Below are 22,070 nucleotides of genomic sequence, written 5' to 3' on the forward strand. Positions count from 1 at the left end.
GCCTATCAGTTTTATCTCTAAATTATATTTTGGTAGGTTTACTTCTTTCCTTTTCTCCCACCACCACCCTGCTCCAAGCTACCATCATCTCACCTGGATGTCTGCAATAGCCTCATCTCCCACAGCCACTCTGCACCCCCTAATCTGTTCTCTATAGAGCAGTTGGAAGGAGTGATTTTTGTTGTTTGTTTTGTTTTGTTTTAGACAGAGTCTCACTCTGTTCCCCAGGCTGGAGTGCAGTGGCACAATTTCGGCTCACTGCAACTTCTGCCTCCCGGGTTTAAGCAATTCTCCTGCCTCAGCCTCCCAAGTAGCTGGGATTAAGGCACCGGCCCCCATACCCAGCTAATTTTTATATTTTTAGTAGAGATGGGGTTTTGCCATGTTGGCCAAGCTAGTCTCGAACTCCTGACCTCAAGTGATCCACCTGCCTCGGCCTCCCAAAGTGCTGGGATTACAGGTGTGAGCCACTGCACCTGGCTGGAAGGAGTGATCTTAAAAAAAAAAAAAACAAAAAAAAACTTGACTGTGTCACTCTGTGTTGTCTCTCCTACCTTGTATACTTCCACAACTTCCCAGTGTTCTTGGATAAAGACCAAAATCCTTAACTTGGCCAGGCGCGGTGGCTCACACCTATCATCTCAGCACTTTGGGAGGCCGAGGCAGGCAGATCATGAAGTCAAGAGATTGAGACCATCCTGGCCAACATGGTGAAACCCCATCTCTACTAAAAATACAAAAATTAGCTGGTCGTGGTGGCGTGTGCCTGTAGTCCCAGCTACTTGGGAGGCTGAGGCAGGAGAATCACTTGAACCTGGGAGGCAGAGGTTGCAGTGAGCCCAGATCACGCCACTGCACTCCAGCCTGGTGACAGAGTAAGACTCCATCTCAAAAAAAAAAAAAAAAAAAAAAATTCCTTAATTTGGCCTACAGTAGAGCCCTCCGTAATGTGGCCTCTCTCCACATCTCCACAACCTCCTGCTCCCTGCACTTCAGCCTCACCTCTCTTCTGGACAGGCCCTCCTTCTGACAAGGGCTTTGTTCATTCTGCTCCCTCTGCCTAGAATGCCCCCTTACTCTGTTCACTTAACTCCTGCTTATCGTTTAGATCTTTACCTGGATGGCTCAGAGAAATATAGAAGTAATTCCTCACCCTGAAAAATAGGTTAGGTCCCTGTTTTATGTTTTCATAGACCTTTCCTTTGAGGCTTTTTTTAAAAAAGTAGTTTTAATCTCACATTTATTCATGTGATCATCTCCTTAATGATATCTTAAGACCTCTAATAGAACAATTTGGTCATGGACTGTGGGGTTTTTGCCCCTCATTGTGTCAGCACTGAGCATATTGTTGGCATAGGAGGGATATTTGTTGAATGAATTGCTAGAGGTGGCCAAGAGATATGATGTAAGTCAGGCTTTTCCCTGCCCTTCCCCTTCCCCTTCCCCACATCCTTCCTATAGCAGCCACCGTGGCTGCAGTTACTGTAAATGGCAAGACGGAATCAGTTCCGGACATTGGGTTGTTTTAGAAAATTGCCTGCAAGTGTCAGGGTGATAAGTTAAAGCTTTGTCTTTTGCCCTCAGAGGAGCTATCCCATAGTGAGTAGAAGCCAGAGAAGCTGACCCCAGGAGTCCTTCTTTCCAGCAGCAGGTCTTGAGCTGCACTTCTCTGTAGCTACAATCCAGGCAGGAACAAGCCCTAGGTACCTCCGGAGAGGAGGGCAAGAGAGGAAGAATGAGTTCAGCTACTCTAGCCACCAAACTGATTATGAATTGCCCTGAAATCTGAAAAATTTCAATTCCAATCGTAAGTTTGTTTTGTTTCATTTTGTTTTCTTAAATTGTATATTTGAAAGATGGCATTAACTAAAGATATATATTCAATATAGAGTGGAAAAAATGGAATACTTGCATAGTATCTTTTACTTATAGGTGATTTATGATGGGGAGTGGGGTGGATAGGTTGGCAGTTCCCCCAAGAAGTTGGAAATGAAGTTTGTCCTCTGTGAGTTGAACTAATTAGATCCACAAGTAATGAAAGCAGTATTGTGTTGTAGTTAAGAGCACACTCTAGAACCAGATTGCTTAGTTTCAAATCCTGGTTCTGCCTTTTATTATCTGTGTACTTTGGGCAAGTTACTTGCCCTTTGTGTGCTTCATTTTTCTCATCTAGAAAATGGAGAGGCCAGGCGTAGTGGCTCATGCCTATAATCCCAGCACTTTGGGAGGCCGAGGTGGGCAGATCACCTGAGGTGAGAAGTTCAAGACCAGCCTGGCCAACATGGTGAAACCCTGTCTCTACAAAAATACAAAAATTAGCCAGGCATGATGGCGGGTGCCTGTAATCCCAGCTACCCAGGAGCCTGAGGCGGGAGAAACACTTGAACCTGGAAGGCAGAGGTTGTAGTGAGCCAGGATTGCACCACTGCACTCCAGCCTGGGTGACAAGAGCTAGACTCAGTCTAAAAAAAAAAAAAAAAAACAAACTGGAGATACAGGCTGGGTGCAGGGCTTACACTTATAATATCAGCACTTTGGGAGGCCTAGGCGGGAGGATTGCTTGAACTCAGGAGTTTCAAGATCAGTCTGGGTAACAGAGCAAGACCTCATCCCCACAAAAAATCAAAAATTTAGCCAGGCATGGTGGCTCATGCCTGTGGTCCCAGCTACTCAGGAGGCTGAGGCGAGAGGATTGCTTGAGCCCAGGAGGTTGAGGCTGCAGTGAACCATGACTGCACCACTACATGCCAGCCTGGATGACAGAGCAAGACCCTATCTCAAAAAAAAAAAAAAAAAGAAACGAGCCAGGCGCGTTTGCTCACGCCAGTAATCCCAGCACTTTGGGAGGCCAAGGCAGGTGGATCACTTGAGGTCAGGAGATCGAGACTAGCCTGGCCAACATGGTGAAACCCCATCTCAACTGAAAATACAAAAATTAGCCAGGCATGGTGGCATGCTCCTGTAGTCCCAGCTACTCACTTGGAGGCTGAGGCACGAGAATCGCTTGAACCCAGGAGGCGGAGGTTGCAGTGGGCCAACATCATGTCACTGCACTCCAGCCTGGGAGACAGAGCGAGACTCTGTCTCAATAAATAAATAAACATAAAATAAAATAAAATAAAATAAAATAAAATAAAAAAATATGGAGGCCAGCAGGCACGGTGGCTCACGCATGTAATCCCAGCACTTTGGGAGGCCGAGGGGGGCGGATCACAAGGTCAGGAGATCGAGACCATCCTGGCTAACACAGTGAAACCGCGTCTCTACTAAAAATACACAAAATTAGCCAGGCATGGTGGCAGGCACCTGTAGTCCCTGCTACTCAGGAGGCTGAGGCAGGAGAATGGCGTGAACCCGGGAGGCGGAGCTTGCAGTGAGCTGAGATCGCGCCACTGCAGTCCAGCCTGGGCGACAGAGCAAGACTCTGTCTCAAAAAAAAAAAAAAAAATGGAGGTTGGGCGCGGTGGCTCGCGCCTGTAATCCCAGCACTTTGGGAGGTCGAGGCGGGCGGATCACCTGAGGTCAGGAGTTCCAGACCAGCCTGGCCAACATGGTGAAACCTTGTCTCTACTAAAATTACAAAAATTAGCCAGGCACGATGGCAGGCACCTGTAATCCCAGCTACTTAGGAGACTAAGGCAGGAGAATAGCTTGAACCTGGGAGATGGAGGTTGCAGTGTGCTGAGATCGCGCCACTGCCCTCCAGTAGAGTGAGATTCCGTCTCAAAAAAAAAAAAAAAGAAGAAATGGAGATACAAACTTACTACCTACCTCCTTACAACCTACCCTCACAGTATTACTGTGAATAAAAGTGTGTGTAGCACTGGGAACACTATTCACAGAGCACTCATGAATGTTTGTTCTTTGTTATTAGTTACTAGAGAGGCAAATGTCTGCCAGGGCTGAATAATATGTGTGAATTGGTGATTGTCGCACATATCTAAAGAAGTAGTTATTTTTTTCAATTAAAACTTAGTTTAAAAACCAATATAAGGCCGAGCGCAGTGGCTCACACCTGTAATCCCAGCACTTTGGGAGGCCGAGGTGGGCAGATCATTTGAGGTCAGGAGTTCGAGACTAGCCTGGCCAACATGGTGAAACCCTGTCTCTGCTAAAAAAAAAAAAAAGTACAAAAATTAGCCAGGCATGATGGCAGGTCCCTGTAATCCCAGCTACTTGGGAGGCCGAGGCAGGAGAATTGCTTGAACCCAGGAGGTGGAGGTTGTAGTGAGCCGAGTTTGTGCCACTGCACTTCAGCCTGGGTGACAGAGGGAGACACTGTCTCAAAAAAAAAAAAAAAAAACCAAAACCAATATAATAAATAAGTGGCCAGCAATGAAACAGAAAGTGAAAAGTTAGTGAAGCAAAACTAGTACTGTATTCAGATAAAGATGCTGAATCTAGATTTGGTCACCAGAATAGGGTCCTTTGTGGCAACCTGGGCTAGTTTGGCTGACTCACCACTGCCAGGATGAAATTTCTTTCAGTGGCTACTCATTTCCCTTTATTTTAAGTCCATGCTCACAGAGCAACCTTCTGATGCCTAATTCAGCTTCCTGGGATACTTAATAACAGGAAGGGTCTGGAAGTAGTACCTGTATAGGGGATATGAGTGTTCTGATTTTAATAGTCAATTCATAAGTGTACAGAGGGTTTGATAAATGGTTAGGTCAGAACCATCACAGAATGTCTACACCTCTTTGGACATTAGGAAGGTCAAAAACCTGAAAGGCCAAAAGCTAGGCCTAGATTAGGGTCATTCACCAAGAAAACATCAGCCTTGAAGAGTTCTCTGGGTGGTCCACCAGTCAACCTTCCTTTGATCACACCTCCTTCCTCGTTGCTTCTTTAAGCATTGACCTGTAATGGGTATGGAATTTTTTGCTCACCTAACTCCTTCCTTTTACAGAGGAAGAAGTTGAAGCCCAGAGAGATTTAATGGCTTGCCTAAGATCACACGCAGATTTTCTGTTAACCAGGGTGATTTTTCAGGTGTTCCCTGCCAGACGAGGGCTTTTTTCCTTGAATTGCCTAGAGATTTCTTGAGATATCCGAAGCATTTTTCCCAGTGCAGCCTGGAGAAGGATGTCCCTGTCAACACAGCATTTGTTACTCAATGTTAGACATTCAATTTTCTAATTAGTATCATGGAGCAACAGTGGATGATTATCTATAAGGGGTTGCAATTCCATGCTTATGTGCTTACAGCCCATATAGACAAATATCAGCTGTTAAAATGACAAGGCAGTAGAGATGTGGCCCCAGGACAAAGGCATACTCTGCTGTTAGTGAACACTAGTTGGCCAGCAAATTTCACATGGGCATATACACGGCCAACTGTAGACTTTAGGCATTTATACCCATTCAGAGAGCCAAACTGGCAACTAAAGATCAGCATTCTCTTTGGCATTTCAGCTTTGCGTTCTGTTAAAAATCACTGCTTGCTTAAATACCTCTGATAGCTCTTCACTGCCTGTAGGCAACTCTTTAGCCTAGCAGACTTGGTCTTTAGTGCTCTGCCCCTACTCTCTTCCACCATTCTGGCCTCCTGTCTAATTGCTGCCCATATGTGCCATGCACTAGAGCTTACAGACCTGCTCAGCGTTATATGAGCATACCATACTCTTTATGCCTCAGTGCATTTGCACATGTTGTTCCTTCAGGCCAGAATGCCTGTTACTGCCTGGCAATCAGCCTATTAGAGTCTGCCAATACCATCCCATCTTCTGTGGAGGAGCCCCCCGCCAAATCCACCCATACCTCTCCCCACCAATCAGAGACTTCTTCTCTCTTTGTTATTCTCTTCGTTATTCTCTTCATACCTCAGTTATATCCATTTCAGTATTTGTTTACACATCTAGCATCACTCTTAGAGTGTGAAATTCTCCAAGTGTGGAGCCGTATCTAGTTTGTCTTTGTATCCCAGAGCTTAGCAAAGTGCCTAGAATGTAGTGGGTGCTCAGAGTGTTTGCTGGGTGAATGATGTATTTGTTGAACGACTCTTTGGACACTTGAATAAAGTCCATCCAGTATGCACCATTACCATCTCTTCGCTCTACAATATTCTTTTAGGCAAGAGCTTATCTTTTGAGGTGATAAGATAAGCTCAAACTTATGTAGACTAAGACCTCAGTCTGTAAATGTCATCCCTAAGTCTTAAACCATCAAAACCAGGGCCTCAAGGAATGGCATGCCTTCTGCAACTGTAGCAACCTGCTGTGCTTATTTTGCCGTGTTTTTCATTTTTCCCCCAAAAGCTAGAGTCCCTTCTCCCATGGGCAGTGCTGGAAGTGTGCTAACAAATTCTTTCTCCATACTGCTTACGATTACAAAAAAAACCCTCAGCATCTCATGCCAGACTTGAGTTAAGGTTGTTTTCTTTTGTGTGTCAGCTGTATTCTGGTCATGACTTCCTGATGATGCCCTATAGAGATTTTGCTGAGATCAGAGGGTGCTCCACTGCCATCAGTAGCACTGACTCTTGCAGAAGCACCGTTTCTGAAGTTGGCTAATGTCATCCCTCACGTTTGTTTGTTTGAAATTTGTTTTAGTTCCAGAGATAGCACTTTCATGGAATGACGCTATCTTCTAGAATCACTTTTTTTTTTTTTTTGAGTTGGAGTCTCGCTGTGTCGCCAGGCTGGAGTGCAGTGGCACAATCTCAGCTCACTGCAATCTCCACCTTCCGGGTTCAAGTGATTCCCCTGCCTCAGCCTCCCGAGGAGCTGTTACTACAGGCGCACACCCCCACTCCTGGCTAATTTTATGTGTTTTAGTAGAGACGGGGTTTCACCGTGTTGGCCAGGATGGTCTCGATCTCCTGACTTTGTGATCTGCCTGCTTCAGCCTCCCAAAGTGCTGGGATTACAGGTGTGAGTCACCGCGCCTGGCCTAGAATCACCTTTTTATACCATAACGTGAGCACCACTGCCGCGTCACCAAGGAAAGAGAGAGGCAGCTACTGTGGGGTTACAAATGGGTAAGAGTGGCACCAGGAAGGTGAAAGTCTCTACTTAGCCAAGGCTTAACAAAATGTCAATCACCAAACATTTATTTATTAAGCTACGTTCAGGATAAGAAGATGAACAAGCTATCTGTACATTCATTTTCTCGTTTGTAACAAGGTAATGATAGTGATCTATCCTGCCTGCCTCTGAGGGTTATTGTGAGAATAAAATGAAATCAAGTGGAAAAGCACTTAGGAAAAAGAAAAGCATTGGTTTTCAATTGTTAGTGTGGATCAGAAACACTGGGGCTTGTTTAAAATGCAGATTCTTAGCCCCAGTCTCAGCGATTCTGATTCTGTATATCTGAAGTGGGACTCAGGAATCTTGATTTTCAACAAGCTGACCAGAGGGTCCAATGCTGCTATTCCTTTAGTTACACTTTCAGAAATATTACTGTAAATCAAATGGCAAGAATAAAATAGTTATTTGAGGCAGTTTTAGTATGTTGGACCTGGAGTCCAAAGACTTGGGTCAAACTCCAGCTTTGTCAGTTCCTAGACCTGTGACCTTAAACAGCAACCTTCTCTGTGAACCTTAGTTCCCTCAGGAACGGCTCTGGTCACCTCCTGCTGTACTCCATTGATGACTCACCACATAAGGCTCCCTGGGAGTCCCCCAAACCTTTGCTCTCTTAACTCCTTTTACAGCCTCCTACATCTCCTGCAGGTGCTGTCTTCTCCTCCTTTTTCCAGGCCCTGCTCTGACACAGCATTCATTCTCCTCTGGGAAGGGTTCCTTCAATGTGTCTCCAAGCACATCACACCCAGGAAGGACCCTGTGGCCATATCTGTCTATCACCAGATCAAACTACGTGAAGGCAGGCACTAGGTACTGTCAGTGCCCAGCATAGGCCTGGCCCATACCAGGTGTCCACAGATGCCTAGTAAAGAAACCTATGATTCAGGACCCCCATGATGAGCAACTATAGCACTAGAACAGTGATAATAACTAATGTTTATAATGCATCTTCAGTTTACAGAGGGCTTTTGTACTCATCATCTAGTTTAGTTCCTGCAACAACCTCTTGAGGAATATAGCACAAGCAGGACAAGGGAAGCCCAGAGATGTTAAATAATTTATCCAAGTTTATGCTGCTGGGAAGGGCAGCACTGAAATTAAAAGAAAAGTTTTCTGAGCTCAAATCCCATGCCCTTTCCTCAATGTGAGCTCTAGCAAGGTATTCAGGAATCCTGCCTCTACAGTTTAGAGCCTCAAATTGCTGGGTATGTTGAGTTCTTGTATCTGATTTTTCTAGATTTCCTGCCCACATTCTTACTGTCTGGATATCAGGAAAGAGTTTATCAAATGCCTGTGGAAATCCAAGATAAGGTCTCATGATGAGTAACCCAGTGAAAACATGAAGTCAAGTCTAACTAGTCACTACTATTTCACTACTGCTGACTCCTGATGATCAGCTCCTTTTCTAAGTGCTTACTGTCCACTTATTCCATCATCTGCCTAGAATTTATGTGAAGGAATCAAAGCAAAAGGATCATAAGGCTTCCTTTTTCCAGTATGTTTTTCCTCCTTTTTGAAAACTGGGCCAGTTAGCTATCTCCATTTTTATTTCATGAATACATCCCCAGCGCCTGGTATATAGTAGATATGGAACATTACACTTTGGAGATATTGCACCCATTCTCCAGTTTCTCCAAAGTTACTAACAATGGTTCCATCACTGTGCCAACATATTTTCTTTTTTCAATATATTGGGAAATAATTCTCCCAGTCTGAAAATCTGAACACATTTCATGTGACTTGGTATCCTCATATGTCTTGGGCTTCCAATTCTCCATTCCTAGTTTCAAGTTCATGAACTGTAAAACAAAGGATTAGACTAAATCTCTAAAGTTCTATCCAGATGCCAAATTCTTTTCTCTTTCCATGATACCTAAGATAGATGCCAAATATTGTCTTTTACCTGGTGTTTGTGAACATGACATCACATTACAGGAGTAGCAGATACTAAACTCTCACTCTGTAAAACACTGACTGAGTTCCATGAGCCAGATACTGAAGTGAGCTTGTTCACATATGTTCTCATTTAATGCTCATAACCCTGTGAAGCTGGGAATTGCTGGGACATTTTATTTATTTATTTATTGAGACGGAGTCTGGCTCTGTCACCTAGGCTGGTGTGCAATGGCATGATCTTGGCTCACCGCAACCTCCGCCTCCCGGGTTCAAGCGATTCTCTTGCCTCAGCCTCCGCAGTAGCTGGGATTACGGGCACACACCACCACATCCAGCTAATTTTGTATTTTTAGCAGAGATGGAGTTTCTCCATGTTGGCCAGGTTGGTCACGAACACTTGACCTCAAGTGATCTGCCTGCCTCAGCCTCCCAAAGTGCTGGGATTACAGGCATGAGCCACCATGCCTGCCCGGGACCCTTGTTTTAGAAGGATGACTGCTGCTATAATGTAGAAAGTGATTTGGAAGAGGGGAGGAGTGGGGCACGAAAGATGGTTAGTAGATGGGGGTGGTAATGCTTACCTTTCAGTATTTGGAGGCTTCGGAGTCCTCAAAAATTCTCTTCCTTGATTGGAGTCCTCCCAGCCAATAGAGGGCTTCACACAAACAGTTTCTTGGGTTTTGAATTGTTTGACCAGAGCTTTCTTCCGACAAAAGGTTGGGGTGATTCATTCACTTACCACACCTTGCCTGAACATTCACTTGGGGCTGCCGGTTATGAAGGCTATTGTTCTCCAGCCTGTCACAGACGCTTTGAAGACCTGTGCCTCAGCTGGTTCTAAGGAGTCAGTTTGTTCAGCTCCGTGCCAGGTTTCCAACTTATGAAATGTGCTGGAGATTAACACCTCTCCTGCCATTTTATCCCTACTATAATTGCCAGTCAAAGGATTCCTGCAGTTGCCTCTGGCAGCCATAACTGATGAATGTTCTGCCAGCTGCTCTGAGGACCTAGAAGAGCAGTTTTCTATCCAGGACCAGTTTCCAAGGGTGGGAGGGTGAAATATATCCTCCAGTGTGACATTTCATCTCCCAGTGATGGGTGGCTTGGGCCCTTTGAAGTTGGCTCTGAGGAACCACACACTTGGGTCTGAGCAGCCAGCAGCTTATCACATCTGGTGATCAATCCTTCAAAGGTTCCTCCTGAAGTCTGAATTTTTGGAGGTCAAATGGATTCCACCTGGGAGGGGCTTCTGCTTCAACTCAGGACATGGGGAGAAGGCTGTTCCTCTTCCAGGGGGAGGCAGTTTTCATGGCATTGAGATGTCCTCTCACTTATTCCCCACCCACCCACCAAGTCCTTTGTAAGAGGAGTAGGGGGAGAGGAGAGCGCCTGCAGCCTCCTGCTCACATTCCTAGACACCGACTCACTGAGCCCGTCGCCGCTGGAACAGCAGAGCTGTGTGAAATGTCAAGAGGAGTTATGCTCATAGGCTCCCTGGCCTCAGTCTCTTTGTGGCTTGCATATTCTTCCATTAGTACTGTGTTCATCACATGGAAATCAGAGGGTACAATTAAAAGATAATTTGCTAGTCCCAGACTTAATTTGGGGCCCCCTTCTTGCCTGATTGAATTACAGGGGAACATAATAGATTTTTGGTGAGAAATAGTTGTCTGTGTGGCTGGGAGAAAGATTGCTCCCAGCTCTCCAGCTGGGCAGCCCTTTCAGTATCCCGTATGTTATTTCCCCACTTCCAGCCCACCTCACCTCCTCTGTGGCCCTTGTGTGTCCCCTCGGCTAGGATCCTGACCTCCTGCTCAAGAGTTTAAACTCAACTTGAGACCCAAGGAAAATAGAGAGCCCTCTGCAACCTCATAGGGGTGAAAAATGTTGATGCTGGGAGCTATTTAGAGACCTAACCAAGGCCCAGACAGAGAGAGTGACTTGCTAAAGGCCACATAGCTAGCCCACAGTAGTTGTAACAATAGTCTTAATGATATTAATGGCTAACATTTATCAACCTTTAATGTGTCCCAGACTTTGTGCCAAGGGCTTACATGCAGTGCATTGTCGCATTCAAACCCAGACAGTCTGGCTCTGGGCCCAGGCTGAGCTTTGGTATAGCATGGTAGAACGTTGTCTATAATGTCTAGTCTGGGTTCAAATCCTGGCTTCACTTCTCACATTTACAGCTGAGTGACCTCAGGCAAGTGATTTAACCTCCCTGTACCTCAGTTGCTTTATCTGTAAAGAGAAAAATCACAGCACTGTGGAATAGTGGGGGTTAAAATTCATTCATACAAGTAGTGCTGCAAGCAATGTTTAATACAGGGTGAGCACCTGTTCAGTGCTTCCTTCTTCTGGCTGCCTCTGGGGCTAGAGTGTGGTGTCTTCGTGGTATAGATAGATAGATATGGCTGAGCTCTGCACAAACACCAAGAGCTGTTCTTCACTATTAGAGGTAGTAAACAGAGTGGTTGAGCTCTGTGGTTCTAGAACAGAGGCCGGCAAGCTATGGCCCATTGCCTATTTTAATACGGCCTGTGATTGATTGATTTTTTTTTTCTTTTTGAGACAGAGTTTCACTCTTGTTGCCCAGGCTGGAATGCAATGGCACGAACTCAGCTCACCGCAACCTCTGCCTCCTGGGTTCAAGCGATTCTCCTGTCTCAGCCTCTCGAGTAGCTGGGATTACAGGCATGTGCCACCACGCCTGGCTAATTTTTGTATTTTTAGTAGAGACAGGGTTTCTCCATGTTGGTCAGGCTAGTCTCGAACTTCCAACCTCAGGTGATCTGCCCGCCTCAGCCTTCCAAAGTGCTGGGATTACAGGCGTGAGCCACCATGACTGGCCTGATTGACTGATTTTTTTAGTAGAGATAGGGTCTTGGTTTGTTACCCAGGCTGGTCTCAAACTTCTGGCTTCAAGCAGTCCTCCCTCCTTGGCCTCTCGAATGCTGGGATTATAGGCATGAGCCACTATGCCTGGCCTATATGACCTGTGATTTTTAATGGTTAGGGGAAAAAAAGCAAAAGAATGCTTTGTGACATGTGGAAATTACATGAAACTCAAATATCAGTGTCCCAGCCTGGGCAACAAAGTGAGACCCTGTCTCTACAAAAAATAAAAAAAAATAAGCCAGGGCCGGGCGCAGTGGCTCACACCTATAATCTCAGCACTTTGGGAGGCCGAGGCAAGTGGATCACCTGAGGTCAGGAGTTCAAGACCAGCCTGACCAATATGGTGAAACCCTGTCTGTACTAAAAACACAAAAATTAGCCGAGCATGGTGGCATGCGCCTGTAGTCCCAGCTACTTGGGAGGCTGAGACAAGAGAATTGCTTGAACCTGGGAGGCGGAGGTTGCAGTGAGCCAAGATCGCGACACTACACTGCAGCCTGGGCAACAGAGCGAGACTCCGACACACGCACGCACGCACACACACACACACACACACACACACACACACGCTGGGTATGGTGGCCAGCACGTGTGGTCCCAGGATGCACTGGAGGCTTAGGTAGGAGGATCACTTGAGCTTAGGTGGTTGAGACTACAATGAACCATGTTTATACCACTGCACTTTAGCCAGGGCAACAGTGTGAGACTGAATCTCAAAAGAAAAAAAAAAAAAAGAAAAAAATCTTTCCATAAGTAAATATCTGTTGGAACATAGCCATGTCCCTTAGTTTATGTTTTATATATGGCTGCTTTTGCCCTATAATGACACAATTGAGTGGCCACGACAGTCTGTATGGCCTGCAGAGCCTAAGATATTTGCTCTCTGGCCCTTTACAGAAAAAGTGCCTTGACCTGTGCTCTAGAGCCATATGTACCAGGTTTGAAACTCAGCCTCACAGCTGGGTGTGATGGCACGCATCTGTAGTCCCAGCTACTCTGGAGGCTGAGGTGAGAGGATCACTTGAGTCCAGAAGGTCGAGGTCAAGATTGTAGTGAGCCATGATGGCATCACCGCACTCCAGCCTGAGTGACAGAGAGAGACCCTGACTCAAAAAAAAAAAAACAAAAAAAAAAAACACCCTCACCACTTATCAGCTATTTGTCTTGAGAATAGTGACATAACCCCTCAGAACCTATTTCCTAATCTGTTAAATGAGGCTGATGACGTTTCCTCCTTTTACTGGCAATTTAAACATGATGGATAATAAATGCTAAGCACTTAACACAGGGCCTAGAAGATATTAACTGCTCAATAAATGGTAGCTTCTTAACAGTATTCAAACCCATGTGCTCTTATCACATGCATTGTTGTCCCTGTGTCCAGTTGGTGGAATGGGAAAAGGCTCCCTTGTAACCCCATCTACCATCTTTATCAGACTTTCCTGCCATGGTTCACAGTAAGAGATAGAAGCTGCACGGTGACTTCTGGCTCTTTACAATGGTGAGCGGTGTGTGCCTGGTAAGGGAGAGCTGATGTCACTGCCCCAAATCCAGTAGTGAGATCTGAGTGTTCTGGTTTCCTCCAGCAGCCTTGCTTTTTCCTTTACAATCCTGCAGGCAGGGAGACAAGGGCTTTCTACATGGTAGGCTCTGGTTTGGTCATCGTCACAACTGGGGGCTGTTCAGGTGGGCTCCCATTCCAGATACCTAGGCTTATCAATCCCTTTTGGCACCCCAGGCCTTTTTCTCCCTCATGCCCCATTTTTCAGTTTGAAAAGCATGGTTATCACAGGACAAGTAGAAGAAGCTCCACTGTCCACTGAGGCCAATGGATGGTGTTCTGCATGTGAACACTCAGTGAATAGTGAGTGAATGAGAGTAACCTGGGCTCCATCCTATTTGCAGAGAGCTTTGGAAAAGATTTTTCTCCTTAAAGAGCCAGAATGAAGCCTGGTAGTGGGAGAGCTCCAGCTCTAGAGTCACATGAGCCTACATTTAAATTCCAGCCCTGCCACTGACTCCCTTTTTGACCTTGAGTGAGTTACCTAATCTCTCTGTACCTCACTTTTCTTGTCTGTAGAGTGGGAATAATTCCTGTCTCAGAGAAATAAAAGAGTGCATATAGTGTTTGCCACATGGAGACACATCAGGTGTAGGTTAATACTCTGGGCCTTGTTTCCTTATTTGCAACACAGCCCTGCCCTGGAGTGGAAGTGGCACCTCCCATTGGTCAGCTCTTGAGGCTGTCCCCAGGACAGGCAGAGGGAGGGAATGAATGGGAGCCCTAGTGCCAGGACAGAACAGATGGCAGCTCAGAGCTAGGATGGCTCTCTGGACCTGTCTCTCCTACCAGAGGTCCCCCCGTCTGGTGTGGCTCTTCCTGGACCTGGCATCCTCTGCTTTTTTTTTTTTTCCACCTCCAAGCAGAATTACTGTCCTGTAGGCAGCTCCTCTGCTTGAGGACATCTGGGGCCAGATATGTTCACACTCTATCCTGCCTTGCCCTTCCCTGAGCTCAGGATGGACGCTCAATTGGTCCCAGTTATTGTCTGCAGCGCCTGCCTGCAGCCTCGATCCAGCCCAGCTCCACCCCTTGCCTGCAAGGTCTGTTTCCTAACAGCTGCTCCAACCACACACCTCGGTTCTGCGGGAGCCCCTCCTCTTCCTCCCTCCCTCCCTCATTCAGGGGTGGGACTGAAGAAGAAGGCTAACTTGACAGCAGCGCTTCTTTCTTAGCTAGTCACCGGCCCCTGCTCAAGAATGCCAGTGTGTGTGTAGCCTCCACAGAGAGGTCGTTTTCTCGGAGTCCAGAGGGGCCGCCTGAGCTTCTGAGAACTAGGGAGGAGCCATCCCAGCCATGAGCCCCTGTGGGAATCTGCTGGGGGCCAAGTGGCCTGGAGTCCTCAGGCTCCCGCAGCTGCTCCGGAGGGAGAGGTGAGCTCAGGGCAGCCTGCCTGCAGCCAGAGGTGCCGGGAGCCCCGGGCCTGTCATGGTGGCCATCTACAGCCGGCCTGAGGCAGTCACAGACGGATTTGCAGCTGAGCCTGTCTATCTGGTGTGGGAAGAAGATGGGGAGTTACTTGTCAGTCCCGGCTTACTTCACCTCCAGAGACCTGTTTCGGTGAGTTGGTCTCCGAGTTCCCCTCTCCATCTCTCCTGGCCCCTGGTCCTGAGAGGAGGGTGGTCTCCCTAAATCTCCTTCTCACTTAGTCCTTTACCATCGGTTCTGCCGGGCAGAAGCCAGCGGAGGTTATACCCAAGGAGAATCGGCCTTGTGAGGTACCCCCATTATGTCCTGGAAGTGGTGAGGGGAGGGATATACCCAGAAGGAACTTCTTAGGGAGCTCCAGCTCCCCTTCTATCCCAGACAAACCTGAAGGAGCCTCCAAAAGATGCCACTGACCTGCCCATTGTAGATGTTACTGCTTCCGGGGGGAATAGCCCAAATAGAGTGCTGTTTCCAGCTCTCACATGTCTTACCTGCGGGCCATGCTGCCTGCCCAGGAATTTGTCCCAACAAGCAGGATGGGCAGGTTTTGCCAAACTGTGGAAACTGGCAAGTCCTGGGTGTGGGTAGCCTGGTACACAGTAGGCACCTTATAAACGTTTGTTCTCTTAATGGCAGGCACATTTGCCTCTGGCCTTGAAGGGCTTCTGAGCTCCCAGGTGAATGTAGTTGCTGGGGAAAGACCTGGGCGAGTGCTTCTAAGACTGGAGCAATGGGCTTTAGAGTGTTCCTGAGCTGCTGGGCCAGCCCCCACACCTCCTCAGTCCCTAGGCCTAAGTACCTCCACGAGCCTCTCTCTGTGGGGCTTCTCAGAGGGAGATGTGGAAACTCTACCTCTAACCTGGCTTTCTTTGCTCATTGCCCCACTCCACCTCCCATAGAAACTCCCCAGGGGGTTTCTGGCCCTCTGGGTCCCTTCTGAATGGAGCCATTCCAGGCTAGGGTGGGGTTTGTTTTCATTCTTTGGGAGCAGCCTGTTGTTCCAAAAAGGCTGCCTCCCCCTCACCAGTGGTCCTGGTCGACTTTTCCCTTCTGGCTTCTCTAAGCTAGGTCCAGTGCCCAGATCTTGCTGCCGGGATACTAGTCAGGTGGCCAGGCCCTGGGCAGAAAAGCAGTGCACCATGTGGTTTTGTGGAATGACCGGACCCTGGTAGATTGCTGGGAAGTGTCTGGACAGGGGGAAGGGGGAAGGGAACTGGTCCTCAATGCTGACTCTACCAAGCGCCCTGCTAGACACTTTATCCTTTAATCTCTCAACAGCCTAAAGAGATTATATATCCCCATTTTACAGATGAGGCAACCAGTTTCAACAGAGTTAACATATGGAGCCTCACTGGGCAGCTTTTTCTGTCTTCCTGACTTTCTCTCATCCTTCAGGGGGCTGCAGGTTTGTTTTCTTCTCCTAGTGGAGAGGAAATTCTCAGGTTTGTTTTCCTCTCCTAGCAGAGAGTAAAAAAAGGGATAGTTTGCCTGACTTGTTGAAGGTGTGGCTGAGATTGTTTTCTAAAGAGCCAATGGAAATTGATCTTGAGTTTAGGAGAAAGCTTTTACATGTGGAATTAAGATGCCAAGTGTTGAAGTAGCCACATTTCAGGTCCTCATTAATTTCTCTTAATCCTGGGAAGGCAGCTTAGGAGAAGGGTTGTTCCTTTAGGAGCCAGGAACTATACCCCTTTTACCCTTGGAGAGGCAGGGAAGCCAGGGAGGACACAACTTCTCAGGAAGAGGAGAAGCTAGAGCAGATAGTGAACTCTCAACCTGAACCTTTAAGGGCCAGACCACTAATGCCACCCAAGTCCACCTGCCGTTTGTCTTGTTCTGTCCCAGGCTTTCTGGAGAACCTGATCTTCTTGCCCCTACCCCCAAGCTCCGTTTGCCCAGCTAGAGTCTGGGGGGTACTGACTGACTTTCGTAGACATTCTTCCCTTCCCCAAATAAGAGGCCACATTCCTGAAGTCACTTCTGAAGAGATAGCTGCCACACAGGGCTCTTTCCCCCCAGGGAGGGACCACCCAGACCCTCTGCTCTCCCAGGTATCCGTTACCACATCACTACCTGGTCAGAAAGCTGTTTCTGCCATTAGCCCCTCCCTCTTTTATTATAGGATATCCTCAAGGGCTCCTCTTTGGGCCTCAGTTTCATCCTTGGCAGAAAGTAGAAGCTAGACTTCTTGGGCTCCTGAACAGGGTCCTTGCTGGATTCTGTGAAACAAATTAAGTTCTTGACCCTAGGCCTCTGGGGGAGTACAAAGTCTATGGGAGTTCTGGGGCTGTGGTTGCAAGGAAAGTGACGCAACCAGATTCCATGGGGACATGATCAGGCGTGACATGTGAGGGAGGAAGAGGGAGCAAGGGAATGAAGAATACAACTTCTGTGTCCCATACACCCCTGCCTGACAGGCCATACATACTCAGCAGAGAATGCACTGTCTTTCCTACCACACTAGCGTGAGAAGTGAGCTGCAATTACCACTGTGCTTCCAAGTAAGAAAATACCTCAAATTGGAATTTACAAAAGAGGTAAATTAGGGAGTGGCTTTTGTCGGACATCTTTAAAGCATTTTTCTTTTTATAGAATTTCACTTAATGTCCAATACTGATTTAATGAGCTTGGGTTTACACATTATCTCTTGAAGAAAACAAATGAACCTTTGTGTTCCAAAGCAATCCATGTTTAAAGGGAAAAAATTATGCATAACTCTGCCCAGCTTCACAGTAACCTTTGGCAGGTGCCTTAGGTCCTCTGGGACTCTTTTCCTTATCTGAAAAATGAAGGACTTGGATCAGGTGAATGGTTCCCAGCTCTGCAACTTATGTGGCTCCTCAGAGGCACACAAGCTCTTTTCCATTATTTGCCAAATAATGGAGGCCCTGTCTTTAACTGCAGTACAACTACACAAAATACTTGAAACTACAGTCTTCCTGGTTTTTGGTTGGAACTGAATCAGTGCACTCTAGCAACACTTATTTCTTGCTGTTCGTAGGCTTCATTATGTGTTTGGTTAATTTTTTAAAACAACAATAACATATTCCATAATAATTACAGCTTAATTGGCAGACTGTTTCAGTCTATAGGATCTGCAGGAAGGAGGAGTAATAAAGGGATTTTTGACTGAGCTCTTATGGAACAGAGTCTCTCTAGGCCCCTGTCATATCTGCCCTTCTGGGCCCTGGGGAAAAGTTGGCATCCCCAGTTGTGGTGCTCTCCAGGTGCCCTCAGGCTGTGGTGGAGGGAGCTTCCCATTCTCTCCTTCAGCCCACTCAATTCAGAGGCTAGGGGCTGAAAGAAGCTTCTCTACAACTGGCTGTTCACTGGGAGGTTAAGGGATGACCATCCAGCCAGGCCTTCCTCAGGACATGGGAGGGCTTATGCTTTAACATGTGTAAATCCACTGCAATAATGACTGGTTCTTTTACCCCATAAGGTTGAGAATTTACCTGTAAACATTTTTGTCTGAAGAATTTGGATGTAAGTGAGGGCTGGGCCTCTATCTTATCTCACTTGGCTTCTCTCAGCACAGCACCTTGCCTGCTTGTTCTTACACATCCTAGATGCACAGTAACTATTTCCTAATTATTAGAAATCTATTAGAATCAATTGATTTCAGCTGGGCTTGGTGGCTCCTTCCTGTAATCCCAGCACTTTGGGAGGCCAAGGCTGGAGGATCACCTGAGTCCAGGAGTTTAAGACCAGCCTGGGCAACATAGGGAGACCCTGTCTCTACAAAAAATAAAAAATTAGCCAGGCATGGTGGTGTGCACCTGTAGTCCCAGCTACTCAGGAGGCTGAGGCAGGAGGATCTCTTGAGCCTGGGAGGTCAGACTACAGTGAGCAATGATTGTGCCACTGCACTCCAGCCTGGGTGACAGAGTAAGACTCTGTCTCTTAAAAAAAAAAAAAAAAAGTTGATTTCTATTTGGATAGATAAATAAAGGTCATTTTAGGACCTTTCTTTTTCACTTACAGAAATCTGTTTCATTCTGGGCTGAGAAGCAGGTCCATATTGCTAGGCATAGGAGAAAAAGGGGTCTGTCTGCATTTGCCCTTGGTGGTCTCAAATTGGGGAGGGAAAGAAATGAACACTTACTGGCTACCTTCTGTGAGCCAGGCATCATGCAAGACATCTGTACATAATTTAATTCTCATAACCCCATAAGATATTATTAGCAATGTACAAGTGAGGAAACTGAGGCTCAGAGTCATGAAGTAACTGGCCTTGGGTGACACAGATGGTAAATGGCAGAGAAGGAATATGGATCCAGGTCTTGAAAGAGAAAATCTCAACTGATTATCTTTTTTAAAAAACTCATATGTTCTCTGCTGACTCAAAAGGTCTCTGTGTGGATCTGGGTTGACCCACTGAACTGACCATCAGGGTTCCATGCACTTTGTATCTGCCCAAGCCCTCAGAACCCCTCAGTAATGTTTTGGAAGATGAGTTTTGGAGGTTGTCCTTAGGCATAGCCTCAGCGTATGTAGGCCTCTAGGTGATCTCCCCTAACCTGAGGATTTCAGCTCAATTCACTCTGGCTCCTCAGGACAGTGGGATGACTGGTTCAGACCTCAGCTTTACCACCTCCCAGCTGGGTACTCTTCTACCTACAGCCAGGGCAGATTTTGACTTTCACTTGAAACTTCCAAAAATTGAAAGGTAGAAAAACAGCCTTGGCTTTGGGAAGAACGTATGATGTCCATGGCCTCTAAGCATCTGAGGTGGGACATGTTCGAGTAGCACCTTACAGTTCCAAAGTGTGTTCTGGGTTCTTTGTTTAAAAGAACAGAGACTGCTGGGGAATTGAACACTGTGAAGTATATGAAGGAGGAGAATTGTGCTATTTAACATTCAGTACTTGGGCTAAAGGAGAAGCATCACGAAGTGTTAACACTCAAAGGGTCTTGAGCTGTCAGGGCTCCAGCTTCCTTATTTTCACAGGTGAGAATCCTGAGGCTCAGCTGTTGAGATGTGCTGTCTCACTCCGGTGACATAGTACAGTGGATGTGGCTTTGCAGCCAAGCACACATAGCTTCACATTCCAGCTCCATCAATTATGTATTGGGCAGCTTTGCAGAATGATTTGACTTTAACTCTGCTTTTCAGTCTTCTGTAAAACAGGGATAATCCTGCTACCGTAGGGTTGTCAGGATTAGAGATAATATAAATAAGGTACCTCATATAGGACCTGGATTATGGCTGGCATTCAATAAATAGTAGCTGTTAATTGATAGCTAAGCTAGAACTCTGAAGTCTACCATGGCAACTTCTTAAGTGGTCTGAGAACCCAGTTGTGTTCTGTGGCAAAACACAGCTTAGGGATCCATACCCAGCCCTCCTGTCAGCTGTTCACCTTCCAGTTCTTCAGAGACATGTGTGGCAGTGACTTTGGCCACATAGCTGGCTGTGCCCTTTAAAGGCATTCCTTGACACAGATATGTGGACTGGTGACGTTGCTCTCCAGCCAGGTGTTCTTCCCAGCAGGCTGGCCTGGCTGTCTCCTGCATGCCTGTACTTGTTTGTCTCCCTGCTCCCTCTCCTGGGCCTGGCCAGAGCTACTTGCAGCAAACAAAAGCAGGATATTGGCAATGGAAAGGAGGGTGTGTTCTGGTGCTCCCATGCCCTGCGGCGCACATACCATTGCAAGGGCGTAACAGAGCCCAGGCCTGCATTTGGGTGCAAATAAGTCTGCACACAGAAGAAAAGAAGGACCTGGTGACCAGGAGCCATGGAACCCTTGTGCTCCCCTACCTGGGCTACTGGTTCTTGCCACTCCTACCATTTTCAGTTTGGAAATATTTGTTAAGGCTTTGCTCTTCCAGGTCCTTTGCTTGGTGCTGAGTCTACCAAGAGTAAGTGGGATGCTGTTTTTGTCCTCAGGGAGCTAACAGTCTAGTGAAGAAGAAAGATGGTTGCCCAGGAACTTCTAAGTCAGAAGGCAGGAGGCAAGAAGGAAGCCCCTGCTCCTACTGCCAGCCCTCTGTTGGGCACCCCATAGTTCTTCAGAACCACATTTAATCCTCACTGCAGGCCAGGCATAGTGGCTCACACCTGTAATCGCAGCACTTCGGGAGGCCAAGGCGGGCAGATCACTTGAGGTCGGGAGTTCGAGACCAGCCTCACCAACATGGGGAAACCCCGTCTCTACTAAAAATAGAAAAATTAGCCGGGTGTGGTGGCATGCGCCAGTAATCCCAGCTACTCAGGAGGCTGAGGTGGGAAAATCACTTGAACTCGGGAAGCAGAGGTTGCAGTGAGCCGAGATTGTGCCACTGCACTCCAGCCTGGGCGATAAGAGCAAAATTCCATCTCAAAAAAAAAAAGAAAAAAGAAAAAATCCTCACTGCTACCTTGAAAGTAGGTGATGACATTGCCATTTCACAAATGAGAAGTGAAGGGGCTAGCCCAAGATCACTTAGGTGGTAAATGGTGGTGCTAAGATTAGAACCTCAGATCATCTAGGGAAAAACACAGATATGCACAGAGTTAAGGGGACCCAGGGTATTGTTTGTCCTCTTGTTTCACAGGTGGGGAAACAACCCAGAGAGGGAAAGGGGCTTGTCCAAGGCAATTTAGCACCCAAGAACTTGAACCCATATCTCTCTCCTCCTCATTTAGAGCTCATCCCACATGTATCTTATATTGAGAGGAGTGTGAGCCACATACCAAGAACAGTCTTCCCCTCTGCCTCCAACCTCACTGTGCAGTTTTGAGACACTTCACAGCCATACTCTTCATGCCATACCCAGCCCTTAAGACCCTGAAGTTCCCCTTCCATAAGACAAGTAGGAAAAGCTATAGGGTAAAAATAGCCATCAGTGTTTGTTGAGCACCCAGGAGGAATTGGGCACTCCAGAAAGATAAAGGGATTCTCAGGGACTTGCTTCTCTAGACTTCCCTAGCTCAGCTGCTTCAACTCATTCCTGCCCCTCTTCTCTACCTCCCGCAGTGCTCAGAAGTAGTAGAACTCACTGTGGCCTCTCACCTTGCATTGTTGAGTTTTATTTAGACTTTCTCTTCCTCAACTCTTCATAAGCTCATGAAAGGTGAAGTAGGGTGCCCTGTGTATTTATCTTTTATATCTGCAGTGCTTAGCAAGTTATAATAATGCACTTGCCTGGCAAAAGGCTTTCTCTCATACATTAGCTTATTTCCTCTTCACATTGGCTCTTTGTAGTAATAGGATGCTATTAGTTATTTTCAATGAGAGAAAGCTACTAAGAGAAGTTGTCCAGCTAGTGACAGTAAGTGG

General features: G+C 46.8%; 1 protein-coding gene across 3 annotated transcripts in view, besides 2 other annotated features; it reads left to right on the forward strand.

Moving 5' to 3' along the window:
• LIMK2 (LIM domain kinase 2) overlaps positions 1–22,070 on the forward strand; it is a 67,783-nt gene that overhangs the window by 21,532 nt on the left and 24,181 nt on the right. For 2 of the 3 annotated variants that reach the window (NM_016733.3, NM_001031801.2), the window contains exon 1: positions 14,555–14,940. The exons of the other annotated variant lie outside the window; for it this stretch is intronic. In NM_016733.3, the coding sequence (NP_057952.1) occupies positions 14,888–14,940 (53 nt within the window). In that variant the 5' untranslated portion in view covers positions 14,555–14,887. Of the gene's footprint in view, positions 1–14,554; positions 14,941–22,070 lie in introns of those variants that run through there. 3 annotated transcript variants of the gene reach the window in all.
• Positions 13,664–14,554: an enhancer, noted in NCBI's record as "H3K27ac-H3K4me1 hESC enhancer chr22:31643479-31644369 (GRCh37/hg19 assembly coordinates)". NCBI's record gives its function as "activates a minimal SCP1, AML or CMV promoter by ChIP-STARR-seq in primed H9 embryonic stem cells {active_cell/tissue: H9 hESC(primed)}" and the evidence as "EXISTENCE:reporter gene assay evidence [ECO:0000049][PMID:30033119]".
• Positions 14,555–15,444: an enhancer, noted in NCBI's record as "H3K27ac-H3K4me1 hESC enhancer chr22:31644370-31645259 (GRCh37/hg19 assembly coordinates)". NCBI's record gives its function as "activates a minimal SCP1, AML or CMV promoter by ChIP-STARR-seq in naive and primed H9 embryonic stem cells {active_cell/tissue: H9 hESC(naive and primed)}" and the evidence as "EXISTENCE:reporter gene assay evidence [ECO:0000049][PMID:30033119]".

Source organism: Homo sapiens, chromosome 22, assembly GCF_000001405.40.
Source record: "Homo sapiens chromosome 22, GRCh38.p14 Primary Assembly".
NCBI lineage: Eukaryota > Metazoa > Chordata > Mammalia > Primates > Hominidae > Homo > Homo sapiens.